This window comes from Homo sapiens, chromosome 1 (assembly GCF_000001405.40).
Source record: "Homo sapiens chromosome 1, GRCh38.p14 Primary Assembly".
Lineage (NCBI taxonomy): Eukaryota > Metazoa > Chordata > Mammalia > Primates > Hominidae > Homo > Homo sapiens.
Genome location: NC_000001.11, coordinates 180,438,617 through 180,459,782, shown reverse-complemented (window position 1 = coordinate 180,459,782; position 21,166 = coordinate 180,438,617). Strand labels below are relative to the sequence as shown.

Below are 21,166 nucleotides of genomic sequence, written 5' to 3'. Positions count from 1 at the left end.
TGTAACAATCTTTTCCCCGTATAAGCATCACTCATTTAATAGAATTTAGAAGATGAATTTATGAATTAAATAACAAACTGACTTTAATTTTTTCTTATCTTCATGGAATTTGAGAAACTTGACATTTCACATAGATTGCCAGAGACTACCAAACCCCTTTTACTGTGTAGGTTATAAACTAAAATGAATGTGGGAAAATGTTTTAAAATGTACTAACAACTATTAGTGAGAGCCCTTGTCCTAGTAAACAGACCCTTGTACTTGGACTATAATTGTCACAAAGGCCCAGTTTTATCATTTGCCTATCTTCATCAGGATGTTCATTAGGTGTGTGTGAGTTGCAGGACCTAATTAGAGCTGAGTTTCCTTAGCTATGCTAGAATTGAATATTTCAGTCTATGGCTTTATGGGCTGCTATTGCTATGCAAGGATACCTTTAACAAACGGGTCAGATATACTTAGGGGGGAATGTTAGTAAATAGAACAGTAATTATAATTATGGAGAAAGTGCAAAAAGAGTTAAATTACTGACCATGGTTTCAAATTTAGAAACATTAAGTTGAACTGGAGCCAAATTACTAAAATATTAGAGATTTCTTTTGAATAACGGGAATATTTTAAGTTATCTGTTAGACTACCAGATTGTCTAATGAACCTATCATTTTCAGCATCTTACGAATAACTTTAGTGCTTTATAATATGAATTATTTTTAGTGTTTTACACTACTGAGATCTTGAAAAAATATCATTACTTTTATTAGAACTTTGAGGTTCTAATAAAACTTCTAATAAAACTTTCTAATAAAACCTTTAAAAAATTTGTTACATTCTAAGTGTGATTGTACTGCATATGGAGATAAACAGTTTTATAATGGAACATATGCCTTTTTTTAAATAATGAAGTTTAATAGGAAAATGACAAAGATTTTATGCCAGACTTTTTAGGAATCATTATTTAAATCTAAGTTTTTAGTTCTTTGAAGGTCCTTTGTAGTATGTACTTCTCTTCCCAATATTATGAATCCAGACTTAGCTCTAACTTTACACACTGTAAATTTGATTGCCATTTGATATAACTTTTCATTGCCCCTCAACTATGGTGGATTTATTATGCCTTTTTTTAACTCACGCTGTTTTCTGAAATGCCTTTATTACTGTTCCTACCTATGGTTTTTGTTTTTTTAGGCCCTGGTTAATTCCTGTTTATTCCGTGAAGCCTTCAGTCCACACTACCTTCTCCCTTTCTGCAAATGAATCACATTTATTATTTATGGCAAATGTTTTAATATTTGATCTTATTTGTCTTATATTGTTTCTTATCTGTATTATATGACAACATACCTAAATTCCTGGTTATACTGAATGTCTTGGTAGCAGGTGTCTTGATTAATATACTTTACAGTGATGAGCTCAGTGTTTAAGACAGTAGGTTCTTAAAAGTACTTATGCTGTTGCGTTGAGTTGAACTGAAATAAGTTGGGGATATTTCTTAACATAAATTATGCCCCATAATATGGCATGTGTGCTTTTTGAAAGTGGTTCTAACAATTATGTATATTTTTCATTGTCTTTTTGAAAACATTCCAGTTGCTGAATCATGCTTATTTATTGAAGGACTATTTTGAGCCATGCCGTAGGAAAGATATATTAGGATTATACTATCAACATTGGTAAAAAGTTAATTTTTGGCCGGGCATGGTGGCTCACACCTGTAATCCCAGCACTTTGGGAGGCCAAGGTGAGTGGATCACCTGAGGTCAGGAGTTTGAGACCAGCCTGGCCAACATGGTGAAATCCTGTCTCTACTAAAAAAAATACAAAATTTAGCTGGGTTTGGTGGTGGGCGCCTGTAATCCCAGCTACTCAGGAGGCTGAGACAGGAGAATCACTTGAACCTGGGAGGTGAATGTTGCAGTGAGCTGAGATCGTGCCATTGTACTCCAGGCTGGGCGACAAGAGCGAAACTCCGTCTCAAAAAAAAAAAAAAAACAGTTAATTTTTGTGGTACAGTAGACTTTTTTGGAATAATGCATTTAGTGTTTGTGTATGCCTATATGTCTTTATATTTTATTATGTGAAAATTCTCTGGCTTCTTCTATTAATTTTGCTTCCCTCAAAATAACCCACTCATTCTGATTCATGTTAGCCTCTTGCTCTCCTTAAATGGTTGTAATTTTTCTCTGCCCTTTGATTGTAAGATTCCTTAGCACTAGGTCTGGCTTTTGAGGTCTTTTGAGCAGAACTCAGGTCTGACAGGTTAAGGGAGATCTAATTTTTTCCTAGTCTTGTAGGTTAGTGATCCCTACTGAGACAAGATGAGATGGAGTAAGAGAGACGTTTCTCCCCGTAGGACTATCTGGGTGAATGCTGAGTAAAGGTAGGTCAGTCTGCAACAAAGAGATTGAGAACAGTTCAGCCTACCAGCATAGTTTGGGACTGCCAGAGTAAGCAGGATTTACCATATGTAGAAATTATATGTAGCATGTAGCAGATGTGGCCCCTCTCTGCTTGCTAAGGTAATCTACCTTCACCAGGCAGTTGGACCCTTTTGAAGGTTCAGGTTTTACTGCCTGAGTAAATTTCTGTTCTCACCTTTGGCCCCGTGGATCTCTTGCCCCTACATGCTCTCCTTTAGGTACACTGGGCTTGTTTCAGTTTTTGATATGCCATACTGGGGAGAGGAAGCCAAGGGTATGTGTTTACATCTTCCTATTATTGTTTATAGGAAAAGTTTGCTGTTTCTACTGTCTTTCTACGGTTTCTAGGTTTGCAAGGCTTTTTAGTCAATATAGTTTTTTAAATACTTGTTATAGTGTGATGTTATAAAATATGTTTGTTTGTAAAGATGAATATTCTAGCAAATATTCTCTACCAAAAAATTTAAAAATAGCCAGGCATGGTGGCACACACCTGTAGTCCCAGCTACTTGGGAGGGTGAGGCAGGAGGATCACTTGAGCCCGGGAGGCTGAGGCTGAGGCTGCAGTGAGCCCTGATCATGCCACTGTACTCCAACCTGGGCAACAGAGAAAGACGGTGTTAAAAAAAAAAAAATTTTAAAGATCAACATTTAGTCACATTCATTGTGTGAATTTTTCTGATATTCTTCATAGCTAGTTGGAAAGTATAGGTGGAAATACCTTTCAGAATTGCATGTTTGTTGTTGCTGTTTCATGATGTATCAGTCTCTCATCAAAGAAATGTTCTGTGTGCCTATAACTATCACGTTTACACTTTTCATGTGCTTTCTTAGGGTGGAATTCCTTGACCAATGGCAACCTAGGTGAAGTTTGCTATGGATCCTCTTTGAGCCGATCCTCAATAAAATACCAGAGCAATTACTGTACCCACATTAATGGTCTTCTAATCTCCAACCTTGCATGTAATTGCTACTGTCACATACAATTGCTGTCTGCCCAAGTTTCTTTCCCTGGGGACACTTGTGCCGTTCCTTGATATAGAGTTAGAAAATGAAAAGAGAGTTTTTGAAACTTTTTGAGGGTTTGGCTTTTAAATCTGTCTACTTTGAGAATTTAAAACTATAAAATTAAGTCACTTTTTTTTTTTTTTTTTGAAATGGTGTCTCGCTCTGTTGCCTAGGCTGTAGAGCAGTGGTGCAATCTTGGCTCACTGCAACCTCCGCCTCCTAGGTTCATGTGATTCCCCTGCCTCAGCCTCCCGAGTAGCTGGGACTATAGGCATGTGTCACCACGTCCAGTTAATTTTTTGTATTTTTAGTAGGGACAGGATTTCACCATGTTGGCCCGGCTGGTCTCGAACTCCTGACCTCAGGTGATCCGCCCGCCTTGGCCTCACCTTTTTTACTTTTGTAGGACTGACTCGAATAAGTCTGACAATAATAAAAGATGATAAAAAAGATTTCAAGGTTCATTGATTGTAATTATATTTCTGAAGAATTAATTATGAATACATTTCCTTTATGGATTAGGACCATATTGGCCACAGTTCAAAAAATGTAATTCTAAGATGGTGGTATTTTTTAAAAAGTGTATATAAAAAGTGCATAATCTAGAATTAATTCAATTTTATGGTTGTGGTAATAGGACAAGATCATAATCTAGTGGCTCTAGATTGGGGATTACCTATTAAAGTAATGCCTTCTTTACCCCAGATTTGGAGAATGAATTCTACAGAGTGAATTTTTCAGCAAATCAAACCTACCTTTTCAAGTATCTGAACTTTTTTTCACTTTTAGGTAGTCTTTGTAAAGTGATAATAAGTTTCCTAGTTTCTTTTTTTTTAAATTATACTTTAAGTTCTGGGATACATGTGCAGAACGTGCAGGTTTGTTACATACATATACATGTGCCATGATGATTTGCTGCACCCATCAACCCATCATCAACATTAGATATTTCTTCTAATGCTATCCCTCCCCCTGTCCCCCAACCCCCGATAGGCCCTGGTGTGTGATGTTCCCCTCCCCGTGTCCATGTGTTTTCATTGTTCACCTCCCACTTATGAATGAGAATATGTGGTGTTTGGTTTTCTGTTCCTGTGTTAGTTTGCTGAGAATGATGGTTTCCAGCTTCATCCATGTCCCTGTAAAGGACATGAACTCATCCTTTTTTTATGGCTGCATAATATTCCATGGTGTATATGTGCCACATTTTCTTAATCCAGTCTATCACTGATGGGCATTTGAGTTGGTTCCAAGTCTTTGCTATTGTGAATAGTGCCTCAGTAAACATACGTGTGCATGTGTCTTTATAGCAGCATGATTTATACTCCTTTGGGTATATACCCAGTAATGGGATGGCTGGGTCAAATGGTATTTCTAGTTCTAGATCCCTGAGGAATCGCCACACTGACTTCCACAATGGTTGAACTAGTTTACAGTCCCACCAACAGTGTAAAAGTGTTCCTATTTCTCCACATCCTCTCCAGTACCTGTAGTTTCCTGACTTTTTAATGATCACCATTCTAACTGGTGTGAGATGGTATCTCATTGTGGTTTTGATTTGCATTTCTCTAATGACCAGTGATGATGAGCTTTTTTTCATATGTTTGTTGGCTGCGTAAATGTCTTCTTTTGAGAAGTGTCTATTGATATCCTTTGCCCACTTTTTGATGGGGTTTTTTTTCTTGTAAATTTGTTTAAGTTCCTTGTAGATTCCAGCTATTAGCCCTTTGTCAGATGGATAGATTGCAAAAATTTTCTCCCATTTTGTAGACTGCCTCTTCACTCTGATGATAGTTTCTTTTGCTGTGCAGAAGCTCTTTAGTTTAATTAGATCCCACTTGTCAATTTTGGCTTTTGTTGCCATTGCTTTTGGTGTTTTAGTCATAAAGTCTTTGCCCATGCCTATGTCCTGAATGGTATTGGCTAGGTTTTCTTCTAGGGTTTTTATAGTTTTAGGTCTTACATTTAAGTCTTTAATCCGTCTTGAGTTAATTTTTGTATAAGGTGTAAGGAAGGGGTCCAATTTCAGTTTTCTGCATATGGCTAGCCAGTTTTCCCAATACCATTTATTAAATAGGGAATCCTTTCCCCATTGCTTGTTTTTGTCAGGTTTGTCAAAGATCAGATGGTTGTAGATACGTGGTGTTATTTCTGAGGCGTCTGTTCTGTTTCATTGGTCTGTCTCTCTGTTTTGGTACCAGTACCATGCTGTTTTCATTACTGTAGCCTTGTAGTATAGTTTGAAGTCAGGTAGCGTGATGCCTCCAGCTTTGTTCTTTTTGCTTAGGATTGTCTTGTCTATATGGGCTCTTTTTTGGTTCCATATGAAATTTAAGGTAGTTTTTTCTAATTCTTTGAAGAAAGTCAATGGTAGCTTGATGGGGATAGCATTGAATCTATAAATTACTTTTCATGACATTGATTCTTCCTATCCACGTGCATGGAATGTTTTTCCATTTGTTTATGTCCTCTCTTATTTCCTTGAGCAGTGGTTTGTAGTTCTCTTTGAAGAGGTCCTTCACATCCCTTGTAAGTTATATTCCTAGGAATTTCTTTGTAGCAGTTTTGAATGGAATTTCACTCATGATTTGGCTCTCTGTTTGTCTATTATTGGTTTATAGGAATGCTTGTGATTTTTGCACATTGATTTTGTATCCTGAGACTTTGCTGAAGTTGCTTATCAGCTTTAGGAGATTTTGGGCTATGACAATGGGGTTTTCTAAATATACAATCATGCCATCTGTAAACAGAGACAATTTGACTTCCTCTCTTCCTATTTGAATACCCTTTATTTCTTTCTCTTGCCTGATTGCCCTGGCCAGAACTTCCACTACTATGTTGAATAGGAGTGGTGAGAGAGGGCATCCTTGTCTTCCACCAGTTTTCAAAGGGAATGCTTCTAGCTTTTGCCCATTCAATATGATATTGGCTGTGGGTTTGTAATAAATAGCTCTTATTATTTTGAGATACATTCCATCAATACCTAGTTTATTGAGAGTTTTTAGCATCGAAAGCCTTTTCTGCATCTATTGAGATAATCATGTGGTTTTTGTCATTGGTTCTGTTTATGTGATGGATTATATTTATTGATTTGCATATGTTGAACCAGCCTTGCATCCCAGAGATGAAGCCAACTTGATCGTGGTGGATAAGCTTTTTGATGTGCTGCTGGATTCGATTTGCTAGTATTTTATTGAAGATTTTTGCATCGATGTTCATCAGGGATACTGGCCTGAAATTTTCTTTTTCTGTTGTGTCTCTGCCGGGTTTTGATATCAGGTTGATGCTGGCCTCATAAAATGAGTTAGGGAGGTTTACCTCTTTTTCTCTTGTTTGGAGTAGTTTCAGAAGGAGTGGTATGAGCTCCTCTTTGTACCTCTGGTAGATTTCGTCAGCTGTGAATCCGTCTGGTTCTGGCCTTTTTTGGTTGGTAGGCTATTAATTACTGCCTCAATTTCAGAACTTGTTATTGGTCTATTCAGGGATTCGACTTCTTCCTGATTTAGTCTTGGGAGGGTGCATGCGTCCAGGAATTTATCCATTTCTTCTAGATATTCTAGTTTATTTGCGTAGAGGTGTTTATAGTATTCTCTGATAGTAGCTTGTATTTCTGTAGGATCAGTGGTGATATCCCCTTTATCATTTTTTGTTGTGTCTATTGAATCTTCTCTCTTTTCTTCTTTATTAGTCTTGCTAGCAGTCTACTTTGTTAATCTTTTCAAAAAATCAGCTCCTGTATTCATTTATTTTTTGAAGGATTTTTCATGTCTCTATCTCCTTCAGTTCTGCTCTGATCTTAGTTATTTCTTGTCTTCTGCTAGCTTTTGAATTAGTTTGCTCTTGCTTCTCTAGTTGGTTTTATTATTATTATTATTATTATTTAATTTTTTGAGATGGAGTCTCACTCTGTTGCCCAGGCTGGAGTACAGTGGCATGATCTCGGCTCACCACAACCTTCGCCTCCTAGGTTTCAAGTGATTCTCCTGCCTCAGCCTCCCGAGTAGCTGGGACTACTGGCACGTGCCACCATGCCCAGGTAATTTTTGTATTTTTAGTAGAGATGAGGTTTCACTATATTGGCCAGGCTGGTCTCAATCTCTTGACCTCGTGATCTGCCCACGTCAGCCTCCCAAAGTGCTGGGATTACAGGTCTGAGCCACCCACATAGTTGTTTTAATTGTGATGTTAGGGTGTCGATTTTAGATCTTACCCGCTTTCTCCTGTGGGCATTTAGTGCTATAAATTTCCCTCTAAACACTGCTTTAGCTGTGTCCCAGAGATTTTGGTACGTTGTGTCTTTGTTCTCACTGTTTTCAAAGAACTTGTTTATTTCTGCCTTAATTTCATTATTTACCCATTAGTCATTCAGGAGCAGGTTGTTCAGATAGAAATGACCCCTGAAAGTATAGTCTTTCCTAGTTTTTTTAAATGTAGTTTACTGAACACATTTTTTCATTTTTCTCTGCTTTTTAAATTGAGACATTAAAATTCACCCACTGTGTTCTCCCATTTAAGTGTACAATTCAGTGGTTTTTAGCATATTCATGAAGTTGTACAACCATCATTACAATTCATCTTAGAACATTTTCATCCCCTCAAAAAGAAACTCCATACCCTTTAGCTCTTAGTTTCAGTCTCCTCATTTCCCTCAGCCCTAAGCAACCATTAATCTAGTTTTTGTTTCTATAGATTTGCCTATTCTGGTTTCAAATGGGGAATATCACATGTAGTCTTTTATGACTGACTTTTTTTATTAGTATGTTTTCAGGGTGTTCTTTCACATTGTAGCATGTATCAATACTTCATTCCTTTTTATGGATGAGTAGTATTCTATTGTATGGATATGCCACATTTTGTTTATCCATTCATCTTTTTTTGGACATTTGGGTTCTTTCCACCTTTTGGCTATTTTGAATAATGTTGCTGTGAACATTTGTGTGCAAGTTTTTGTGTGTACATATATCTTTATTTCTAATGGATATATATCCAGGAGTGGAATTGCTGGATCGAATGGTAATTCTGTGTTTAACTTTGAAGAACCATTGGACTGTCTTCTAAAATGGCTACAACATTTTATAGTCCTGTCAACAGTGTATGAGGGTTCTGATTTATTTTCTGCCTTTTTGATTGTAGCCATCCTAGTGGGTCTGAAATGGTATCTTGTTGTGATTTCAATTTGCATTTCCCTGATGACTGATGATATTGACCACCTTTTAATGTACACATTGGCCATTTGTATATCTTTTTTAAGTTACATTTCCCTTTCTTGTTGTAAGCTTGTAATCTCATTATTAGAATGAATTTATTGGTTATTTAGACTAATTTTCTGTCTCCAGATTATTCTAGCATACAGTCTTTTAGCTTCTATTGGAAGACTCTTAATGAAGGGAAATTTACTATTTGTGAAGAAATTGGCCCAATTTTTGAAGAACTCCAGTTGTTAGAAGCTTCTTTTTATATTAAGCCAAAATTTATTTCACTGTTTTGGTATCGTTATTGTTTTCTACTCTGTTATATTTTTGCTTTTTAGGCCCACATAGACGATGTTCAGTTTTTTATATGAGTCTTTCAGAAGTTTTTTTTTGTTTGTTTGTTTTGTTTTTTTGACAGAGTCTCACTGTCGCCCAGGCTGGAGTGCAGTGGCGCAATCTCGGCTCACTGCAAGTTCCACCTCCTGGTTTCACGCCATTCTTCTGCCTCAGCCTCCCGAATAGCTGGGACTACAGGCGCCTGCCACCACGCCTGGCTAATTTTTTTGTATTTTTTAGTAGAGACGGAGTTTCACTGTGTTAGCCAGGATGGTCTCGATCTCCTGACCTCGTGATCCACCTGCCTGGGCCTCCCAAAGTGCTGGGATTACAGGCATGGGCCACTGCACCCGGCCGAGTCTTTCAGAAGTTTTAAGGCAGCTTTTAAGTCTCCTCATCTCCAGACCAAATATTTCTGATTTCTAAAATTGTTCTTCATCTTCTTCACCATCAAGTCCCACTACCTTCCCAGTCATTCTTGTGTGAACAAATTTCAGTTTCTCAACACCTCTTTTAGAGTATGGCCTTTGGAATTGAACAGACTGTTTTAGGCATAGTGTGACCACTACAGAATAGAACTTTTCTCTCTTTAGAACACTATACTTGCACTGATTGTGGCTTAAAATTACCTTAACACTTCTTGCAACCACATTACAATGTTAATTATTCTTTAACTTTCAGTAAACTAAAATCCTGTCTTTTTTTATACATTCTGTTATGCAATGTCTGTTGTGTACTAAGTTCAATACTTTATGTGTACCCGTATTAAATTTCATTTTATTTTATTCAACATCTTATTCCCACATTGAAGATTTTTGGGGTGGGGGGGTCCTGAATGTGACATCTAGTGTGTCAACTGTCTTTCATTGACCCTGTCATCCGGAAATTAGATTAGCATGCTTTTTTTTTTAAGTTTTTTTTTTTTTAATTTAAGTTCTAGGGTACATGTGCACAATGTGCAGGTTTGTTACATAGGTGAACATGTGTCATGTTGGTTTGCTGTACCCATTAACTTGTCATTTGCATTAGGTGTTTCTCTTAATGCTATCCCTCCCCCTGTCCCCACCCTACAACAGGCCCCGGTGTGTGATGTTCCCCACCCTGTGTCCAAGTGTTATCATTGTTCAATTCCCACCTATGAGTGAGAACATGCGGTGTTTGGTTTGGGAGGCCGAGGAGGGCAGATCACTTGAGGTCAGGAGTTCAAGACCAGCCTGGCCAACATGGTGAAACCTTGTCGCTACTGAAAATACAAAAACTAGCCGGGTGTGGTGGCGGGCACCTGTAATCCCAGCTACTCAGGAGGCTGAGGCAGGAGAATCACTTGAACCTGTGGTGGAGGTTACAGTGAGCTGAGATCACACCACTGAACTCCAGCCTGGGTGACAGAGTGAGACTCTGTCTCAAAAAAAAAAAAAAAAAGTGCGAGTTGTAGGTCAGTGATATGTTGCTCCGTTTTGTATCCATATGGGTTGCTTGCACATTTAGTTTATGGAATGTAGATAATGAATCATAGCTTCAAGAAAGTCTAAGAAATAAGATTTTGAGAATTCTGCTTTAGAAGTTGGGATTCACAATTTCGGAAACTATTAAAATGTTGAAATAGTATTCATACTTTGGTAAGCTACAAATAACTGATGTTCACTGAACTTGTGTTGTCAGTCTCTAAATCTCTCTTTCATGAAATCATGCAACTAAGATAGTTGCATGGAGACAAAAATAATGGAAAAGAGAATGGAATGGAAACATACCAACTTTAGCAATACTAATCTATTTATTTGTGTATTCCTATTCATGTGTTACATTAAAAATTATTTATGGTATTTTAATTCTGGGAAGATGGTAGTGGCTGTAGCATAGTTTTTGAATAGTCCTCCTTCCTTAACAGAATAACTAGGATAGCATAATCAAAAGCTCTTGAGCAATATCTGTAACAAAATTAGTTGATTAGAGAAAATAGGGACAAACCACCAACAGCTACCAGATTTATATTTTAAAAAAAATGAAAGAAAACAGATTTGTGTGGCATTGGCATCTCTTTAGAAGGAAGCAGAAGGAAGCAGTAGAGTACCTATGAGTACCTTACTATCTTGAGAATGGCAGATTTCTAAAATAGCCAACAGGTAAAGCTAAAAGGGGTTTTTATGCACTTCAATTCATGGCTGAGTACAAGAGGTTCATGGTAACGTTCTCTAGAGCTGCCTGGGCTCTAAGCTTCTAAAATTAACTAGCCAAAACTTTCTTCCAGTATAAAGCTTCATACTAAGAGCAATCTACTAGGAATTTAATCAAAATCAAGTAGGACAACAAGGACAATAAAGACAAAAGGAAAAAGAAGAACCAGAGGGGGCAAGAGCTAAGTATCCTAGGGGCCAAAATTTTTACCACTTCATGAAAACAATAGAAAAGGGAGATAGAGATCTAAAAATCTATCCTGACCTATGTTTCTGTCTTAAAAATTTAAGAACATTAAATTTAGGTAAAGATGACCAACAAAAAAGATTGTTGTTGAATCTCATACCAAGTTGCAATAGTTAAGGATTGTATCTTTTTCTTATAATATCCAGAAGTTATATTATTGGTGAAAATAATTAATATGTGCTTAATATTTGTATGGGTCTTGGTAGGATTGCCATATACTTTCCAAAAGACTAATACCATTTTACAAGGCCATTAGGGCCATTAGCTTATTAGTACCTGTTTCACTGTAATTTTACTGCCTTATTTATTCTAATGTAGCTAGTTAAAAATTCATTGTTCATTGTTGCTTTAATTTGCATTTTGCAAATTATTAAGGGATGTTAAGCATTTTCCCAAGTATTGGTGTATGTGAGTAGAACCCTAAACCCGTGGGTAACTTCAAGTATCTAACTGTTGCCTACTTATAATCATGGTCTGTTTATCCATTGGGTCTTAATGATTTTTTTTTTTGTACACATGAGATCATTTGGATACATTATAGAAATATTAACCATTTGTTTTGCTTGCTTAAAATACAGTTTCTTCTTTTCCTGTTTATTTTTGAGACGTTATTACAGAAATGCTGGTTTAAATATTTGAATCTTTTGATGTTTTATGATTTCCTTTGGTGTTTAAAATCCAAAAAAAGTTATAATTTCTGAACAGCTATGATAAATACTATATTCAAGATAATTTTCTAAAGAAAATCTAAATTTTGATCAGTGTTATATTTCTAGAAAATTAGTCATAATAACCTGAAGGTAGTTTTCCATGATAGCCATTTTAAAACAGTGTTAAATTGAGTAAAAATACTAACAAATACAAATGACTTACATATTGCGCCTTAGTTTTAAAGTGTGCTGGAACCAAGACAATTGACAAAAGCCAAGAAATCGACAAGAGTAATATAATATTTATTCTTAAATTCTATTGTGGGGTGGTAGAAAGCAATTTACCATTTTTGGTTTGTTGTTACAAAGTGATGACATTTACTTGGTGGACTATAAGAGAATCTTCGGAGTTCTGTTGACCATATTAATTATATGTAAAAATTATCTCATATTTCTGTGGTGTAAAGTGTTTGGTTAAAAAAAAAGTGTTCTTCAGTCTTTTAATCTTTAAAAAATGTGTTAGCTAGTGTATGTAGTATATATACAAAAAATATTAGGAAAGGCTGAAATTTGGAGGATTGGATAAAATACTTGTTCATATCATTTCTGTTCTCATTGCTTTTATTTAAAATTATTTTCCAATGCTAATTTAAGCATTTATGCAACATTTCTAGAGAACTGACATTTTTATAAATGTCTGGGTTTTTTTGTTTGTTTGTTTTGGGACAGAGTCTCACTCTATCACCCAGGCTGGACTGTCGGGGGTTATCTCAGCTCACTACAACCTCTCCCTCCCGGGTTCAAGCAATACTCCTGCTTCAGCCTCCCAAGTAGCTGGGATTACAGATATGCACCACCATGCCCAGCTAATTTTTGTATTTTTAGTAGAGATGGGGTTTTACCATGTTGGCCAGGCTGGTCTCAAACTCCTAACCTCGGGTAATCCGCCTGCCTCTGCCTCCCAAAGTGCTAGGATTACAGGCATGAGACTGCACCTGGCTAAATGTCTGTTTTTTAAAGGTTGTAGGAGATGATTTTTTAAAATATTGCTGTGTGTTTGTAATTTTAAGAGAAACAGGTTAAAAACATACGTTTATGGAGTTCCCCTTTCTTGAAAAATTTTATAAATATTACTGTTATAAGTAGCAACCAACAATATTTTCATGGTAAAGTTTTCTTTTTAATGCTGTGACAAATGGTAGATGAGATGAAACCAATATTCTTACTTTTCTACTTGAAATGAATAGCTATTCATGTTTCAGGAAAAAATTTAGTATTTCAAAAGGATTATCAGAAAAGTGTTCCTCTTTTAAGGGTTTAGAATGATAGTATTAATCTAGCAACTAAATTATGCATAATTTATCAGAATAATTTTGCTTCAAAAATGTTTAAAGTTTTCTCTTTGAACTAATGGAGTACTTTATGTAAACATTTTAAAAGTACACTTAAGGCTGGGTGTGGTGGCTCACACCTGTAATCTCAGCACTTAGGGAGGCTGAGGTGGGTAGATCGCTTGAGCCCAGGAGTTAAAGACCAGCATGGGTGACATGGTAAAACCCTGTCTCTACCAAAAATACAAAAAAAAAAAAAAATTATCCCGGCGTGATGGTGCTTGCTTGTGGTCCCAGCTACTTGGGAGGCTGAGGTGGGAGGAGATCCCTTGAGCCTGGGAAGCAGAAGTTGAATGAGCCAAGATCACCCACTGTACTCCAGCCTGGGTGACAGAATGAGACCCCATCCCCCCCAAAAAAAAGTACACTTAAGAAACAGACAAAATTTTAATTTAGAATATTGTCAGTATGTAATAATGGTTTCCAAAATAGCTTGGAGAAGTAATATAATGTAATTTAATAGAACACAGGCTTTGGAATATCAAAGGATCTTGGTGTGAATCCCAATTCTGCCACTTCTGTGGCATTGGATACTTCACCTCTTTTCAGTTTTTGAATCTGTAAAATAAATATTTACTTATATTTCATCAAATCTTTTTTTTTTCTTTTGTAGAGACAGGGTCTCACCATGTTGTCTAGGCTGGTTTTGAACTCCTGAGCTCAAGTGATCCTCCTTCCTCAGCCTTTCAAAGTGCTGGAATTAAAGGCATGAGCCACTGCACCTGGCCAAATCTAAGGCAGACATTTATTCAGTTTTTAATATTTTTGAAATCTGTATGAGTCTTAGTGTATTATATTTAATTGGCTAGTTTTTCTTTCTGAACATTACAGAAAATAATGGTGCTTCTTATAATTGAGGATATCTTAGATTAAATAAAATACAGTGATAATGCCAGCTTTATAGACTCGTTTTGAAGTGGAAGTTGGATAGTATAAGCACATAGAAAATATTCCTTAAGTATTAGTTTTCTATCTCTTTTTCTTATAACGAAGTATGTTAGAGTTTTTATGATTGGTTTGTTTGGGGGATTTGTTGTTGTTTTATCAAGAGAATCAGGAGTTTAGAGCTATTAGGTAAAGACCATAGGTCAATATTTTAAGTCCCCACATCACAACATCTTGTATCTATATTGCTGAAACACTTTTGCGTTGGAGAAATGGCCATGTTTTGGGCAATAATAATTATTGTATTAGCTAACACTTACAAAATGGCCACTTTGCACTGGATACTGTTTTATTTATGTATAAATATAAATAGGTATGAAATAGGTACTATTATTCCCATTTTTACAAATGAGGAAACTGAGGCAAAGAAGTAGATTAATTTTCCCAGCATTCTACAGTTAGACTATAAATGAATTAAACAAAACAGTAAAACAAATCCAAAAAAGGTAGCACACAGAAGCAAGAAACCTCTTTGCATAGATTAGCTTGATAATCTTAGGAATAGAAGAAAAAGTTTCACAAGGCTTTAAATCTTGACTCTAAAACTGACTAAGGTGGAGTCTGAATCAAGTGATAAAGATTTAGCCAACAACTTATCCTTTCCCTTTTGAGTGAAGGAGCATTTTAGTTTCTCAACTAATAGAGTCTCAGGCAATGTAAGAACTGGCAAATTTTATCCTGTTCGCTGCCAAATTGGACTCTATTTAATTGCTGATGCAACATAAAAGTGACTTAATGGATTTTGAGTAGAGAGAAATGGAATAAACTTCTAAGCCTCTATGAAAGAAATTTCACTGGAGTGGATATCAAGAGGGTAAAGTAGCCAAAGTTTATCCACTCTGGTAGATGAAGTGTATAGAAAGGAAAACTAACGCATCTTTGGCATCTTTATTCTGGATTCAATCTGATAATGGCAGGTTATTTTTAAAATATTATTTCTGCCTAAGATATAATCTTTTTATTTCCCCACAAAACATTGTGACCATGTGTATTCTAACATGTGTATTTGTGCAGTTGCATTAGAAAGAGGAACTAATCCCAGGAAAGGGGAATGTATTTAGAATATACCATAATCAAATTATGGGGTCAGTTTTTTTTCTAAAGATTTTAATTAAAAGTACTTTCTTTTTTTTTTTTTTGGAGAGACGGAATCTCACTCTGTCGCCCAGACTGGAGTGCAGTGGCCTAAAAGTACTTTATTTCTTATTTTTAAAAATATTCATTATGTCTGTTTATGAGTGAAAAAATGAAAATAACCTAATATACAACTGTTAGATAATGGTTAAGTAAATTATATTACATTACTGCATGGAATATTATGCTGGGTTTAAAATTAATGTTTGTAGGACTTATGTTCCTGGGAATGGTGGAGTAATAGGGATGAGATTTACCCTTTTGCCAAAAACAAGAAGAAAACCAGATGCATGGCTAAAATTTCTGGATGAAACAGTAATTTTCAGACATTGTATTATAAGTAGTGTAAAGTTACAAAAGAAGGGAAATGGCCGGGCACGATGGCTCACACCTATAATCCCAGCACTTTGGGAGGCCAAGGCAGGCAGATCACGAGGTCAGGAGATCGAGACCATCCTGACTAACACAGTGAAACCCTGTCTCTACTAAAAATACAAAAAAAAAAAAAAAAATTAGCTGGGCGTGGTGGCGGGTGTCTGTAGTCCCAGCTACTTGGGAGGCTGAGGCGGGAGAATGGTGTCAACCCAGGAGGCGGAGCTTGCAGGGAGCCAAGATTGCACCACTGCACTCCAGCCTGGGCGACAGAGTGAGACTTCATCTAAAAACAAAACAAAACAAAAAAAACAAGCTGTGCCTTGCAGGTGCGTCCCATTTATTACCTGGCAGCATTTTCCAGGCTGCAAGGAGGGGGATCCCAAAATGGCCTGGCAGTCTTACCATTTTGAACTAGAATTTGCGGGGCTGAATACCAGAGAGGATGATCCTATATTGACAGTTCCAGAGGTCTGCAGAGGGGTCCCTTTGGCTGAATACTGATCTATGCATGTATAAGAGGAAACTATTAATAACAGGCCGGGGAAAGAAACATAAGAAAGCAGTAGGCCAATTTCTGGAGCTGACATAGGACTGAGAATATTTTGTTTCCTACCAGTCAGGAGTAGAATGAAAATGTAATATGTGGGGCATATGGTAGAGGCTTCAGAAGGGTTTCACTTCAGTAGCTGTGCTAAATTAAATGCTATATCAAAGGCTGCTTTGCCCTTGCCTTAACACTGCTTAAAATTGAGCCTCAAAAGGATCAGACTAATTCCAAGTAACTTAATGCATGCCAAAACAAAGTCCAACATAATTTAAAGGAACACAACAAAATCCAGCAAGCAAGAATGTAAAATTTATTACAATGCCTTGCTTACAATACAGGTCTTTAAAGCTTGCCAAAAAGGAAAAAAAAAAGTGGGGGCAGGAAAATATGACCCAGGAGAAAAACCTGTCAATAAAAGTACATGGTGGAAATGATAAAGATGATAAAATAACAGACAAGGACATGAAAACACTTACTTTACAAATATATACTATATATTCAAGAAAGTAGAGGAAAAAGTGAACATATGTAGAGAGATGGAAGATGCAAAAGTATCAAAATGGAACTTTTAGATAGGGAAAAATATAATATCTGAAGTAAAAAATAGACTGGATATGATTAACAGCAGATTAGACATTGCATAAGATCAGTGAACTTGAAGCTCGAAGATGGAGCAAGTGAAACTAATCAAAATGAAGCACAGAGCATAAAAAGACTGAACAAAAAAAGAACAGAACTTCAATGAGCTGTGGGAAAATACAAAGCAATGTAGCATTCATATAATTGGAGACCCAGAAAGGAGAAAAAAAGTGAGAGAAGACAGAAACAAAATTTAGTTAATAATGGCTGAAATTTCAAATAGTTCATAAACTATAAACCAGAGTTTTTCAATCTTTGCTCCATTGATATTCTGGGCCAGAAAATTCTTCTTTATGGAGGATATCCTGTACATTGTAGGACATTTAGCAGTGACTCTGTTCTCTATTCACTAGATGTCAATAGCACTGCGTAGTGTGACAGCTAAAAAATTGCCCCAGACATGCCAAATATCTGTGGATGGAGAGGGCAAAAAAAAAAGTGCCCCTAGTTGAGAGTCACTGCCATAAACCCATAGATCCAAGAAGCTCAATGAACCCCATGCGGAAGAAATGTAATGAAACCATACAATACATAACAAATTGTTGAAAGCCAGTGAAAAAGAGAAAAAAGCAGACAGAAAACATGATGAAGATAAACAAGGTAGAACTACAGCAGACTTCTTTTCAGAAATCTGAAGTCAATAGGTTGACAACAAAAGGAAAAGACGACCAACCTGTAATTCTATACTCAGTTAAGTTATAATAGCTTTCAAAAATGAAGGTAAACTTTACTTAACATAATGGGTATTTATGAAAAACCCAGAGGTAGATCAGGAATAAGACAAGGATGCTTGCTTTCACCACTCCTGTTCAACATTGTATACATAAATTCTAGCCAGAGCAATTAGACAAGAAAAATAAAGAAACAGCATCCAAATTGGAAAGGAGGAAATAAAAATGTTAATCGGTGACATGATCCTACACAGTATATAGAAAATCCAGAGAATCCACAAAGACACCGCTAGAGTTAGTATGTTAATTCAGCAAAGTTACAAGATATAAGATCATAAGATCAGCATGCAGAAATCATTGTGTTCTTTAGACCATCAGCGGATACTCTGAAATGGAAACAAACAAAAAAATTCCATTTACAATAGCCTTTAAAAGAATTAAAAACAAAAACCTGGGAATTTTAACCAAGGATGTGAAAGATTTTAGACTGAAAACTATATTGCCGAAAGAAATTAAAGAAGACCTAAGTTAATGGAAATTCATCTTGTGTTCATGGATTGGAAGATTTAATTTTATTTAGATGGCAGCGCTGTCCAAGTCAATCTGATTTATATGGAATTGCAAAGGGCCCCAAATAGTCAAAGTATTGAAAAAGAGCAAAACTAGTGGATTCAAACTTTGCAATTTCAAAATTTACTATAAAGCTACAGTAATTAAAACAGTATGGTACTGGTATAAGGATAGACATATGGAAAAGAATTGAGAGTGCAGAAATGAACTCTCAAGTTTATGGTCAGTTGATTTTCAACAGGGCCACTTCATACCCAGTAGGGTGTCCGCAATAAAAAAGATAATAACAAGTTTTGGCAGGGATGTAGAGACATTGGAACTGTCTTAGATTGCTGCTAAGACTGTACAATGGTGCAGCTGCCATAAAAGACAGTTTGGTGGTTCCTCAAAAAGTTAAAAATAGAATTACCAATTCTTTTGGGTATATACAGGAGTGGAATTGCTGGGTAATTTGGTACTCAAATACCTGTATACAAATGATCATAGCAGCAGTATTCACAATAGCCAAAAGTGCAAACAACCCAAATGTCCATTAACTGATGAGTGGATAAGCAAAATTTGGCATTGTTGTATACATATAATAGACTATTAATCATAAAAAGGAATGAAGAACCGATACATGCTATAATATAGATGAGCCTTGAAAACATTAAACCAAGTGAGAGGCCAGACATGAAAGATTACATAGTGTATGATTCAATTTATATGAAATATCCAGAATGGTTAAATCCATAGAGACAGAAAGCAGATTGGTGTTGCCAAGGTTTTGGGGGAGAGGGGAATGGGGAGTGACTGCTTAGTGGGTTCAAGGCTAAAGGTTTGGGGGAGAGGGGAATGGGGAGTGACTGCTTGGTGGGTTCAAGGCTAAAGGTTTGGGGGAGAGGGGAATGGGGAGTGACTGCTTAGTGGGTTCAAGGCTTTTTGGGGGGAATAACAAATATGTTGTGGAACTAGATGCAGTTGGTTGCACAATATTGTGAATGTATTAAATGTCATTCAATTGTACATGTTAAACTGGTTAATTTTATGTGAATCTCATGTCAATACAAAAAGAAGTAAACGTGAAATAAAGACTTTTCAAGGCTGGATCTGGTGGCTCATGCCTGTAATCCCAATACTTTGGGAGGCTGAGATGGGCAGATCACTTGAGGTCAGGAGTTCGAGACCAGGCTGAACAACACATTGCAACCCCATCTCTACTAAAAATGCAAAAATTAGTCGGGTGTCATGGTGGGCATCTGTAATCCCAGCTACTCTGGAGACTGAAGCAGGAGAATCACTTGAACCCAGGAGGCAGAGGTTGTAGTGAGCTGAGATTGCACCACTGCACTCCAGCCTGGGCCACAGAGTGAGACTTCATCTAAAAAATAAAAATAAATAAATAAAAACTTTTTCCAAATAAACAAAAGCAGGTAATTCATTGCCAACTGAACTGAACTATAGTAAATTTTAAAGGAACTTCACATGAAAGGAAAATTATATAAGATGGAAATTTGGACCTCCATAAAGGAATGAAGAGTCCTGGAAGTGCTAAATATATGGGTAAATTTAAAGACTTTTTTTAAATTTTAAAATCTCTTTAAAAGATCACTGAACTTCCAGTTTCAGCCTCAACATGTGAAGAACCTGCAAGTTATCACTCCTCTCCTTAACAATAACAGTAATCTGACCAAACTGAAAATCAAAGACTGTTCTAGATCCATCAGAGATTGAGGTACCAGTTCAAACTGCCATCCCCAAAACTGGAGAGACAGGTGAATACAGAGAATCATAACCAAGATAACAGAAGATGCTTGGGCCATAAACTGGTAGAAACACTTCAATGGTAATGGATGAATTGCTTGAGGCTGAGTGTGGACTAGGGAGTCAAAAACTCCTCCCCAGTATTTTTTTTTTTTTTGAGACGGAGTCTCGCTGTGTCGCCCAGGCTGGAGTGCAGTAGCGCAATCTTGGCTCACTGCAAGTTCTGCCTCCTGAGTTCCACCATTCTCCTGCCTCAGCCTCCTGAGTAACTGGGACTACAGGCGCCCACCACCATGCCCAGCTAATTTTGTTGTTGTTTTATTTTTAGTAGAGACGGGGTTTCACCATGTTAGCCAGGATGGTCTCGATCTCCTGACCTTGTGATCCACCCGCCTCGGCCTCCCCCAGTGCTGGGATTACAGGCGTGAGCCCCCACACCCGGCCCCTCCCCAGTCTTAGTAGGGCCTTCCACTTTGGTAGGTTTTATCTCCCAGAATCCCATTTACGGTAAAGAGTCAAGAAAAATCTTGTGTTTTGGGCCAGGGGAAGGAGCATATAGTTAACACTACTGAGTTAAATACCAAAAATGGTTAAAATGGTAAATTTTATGTTTACAATAATTTAAAATTTTTAAAAAGAAATGAGCTATTAGACCATGAAAAGACATGGAGGAACCTTAAATGCATAATGCTAAGTGAAAGAAGCCAATCTGAAAAGGCTGCATACTGTATGAGTCTAATCATTTGACATTCTGGAAAGAGTAAAACAAAGCAGTGAAAAGATCACTAGTTGCCGTGGGTTCAGAGTATGGAGGAGAGTGGGGAGGGAGGGAAGGGTGAATAGGTAGAGTACGGGATTTTTAGGGCAGTGAAACTATTCTGAATGGTACCGCAGTGGTGGGTACATGTCATTATATGTTTGTCAAACCCATAGAATGTTCAATACAAGAGTGAACCCTAATGTAAACTATGGACTTTCATTAATAATAGTGTATTAATATAGGCTCATCAGCTGTAACAAATGTGCCACTCAATGCAAGATGTTAGTAATGGGGGCAGTGGGTGGGAGAGTTGTATACATGTGAGAGGTATGAGATAACCCTATTTTTTGTTCATTTTTCTGTAAACCTA

The 21,166-nt window shown here is 36.8% G+C and overlaps 1 protein-coding gene across 7 annotated transcripts in view; it reads left to right on the top strand.

Annotated features, from left to right (window-relative positions):
- ACBD6 (acyl-CoA binding domain containing 6) overlaps positions 1–21,166 on the top strand; it is a 232,925-nt gene that overhangs the window by 42,795 nt on the left and 168,964 nt on the right. The gene's annotated exons all lie outside the window — the stretch shown is intronic.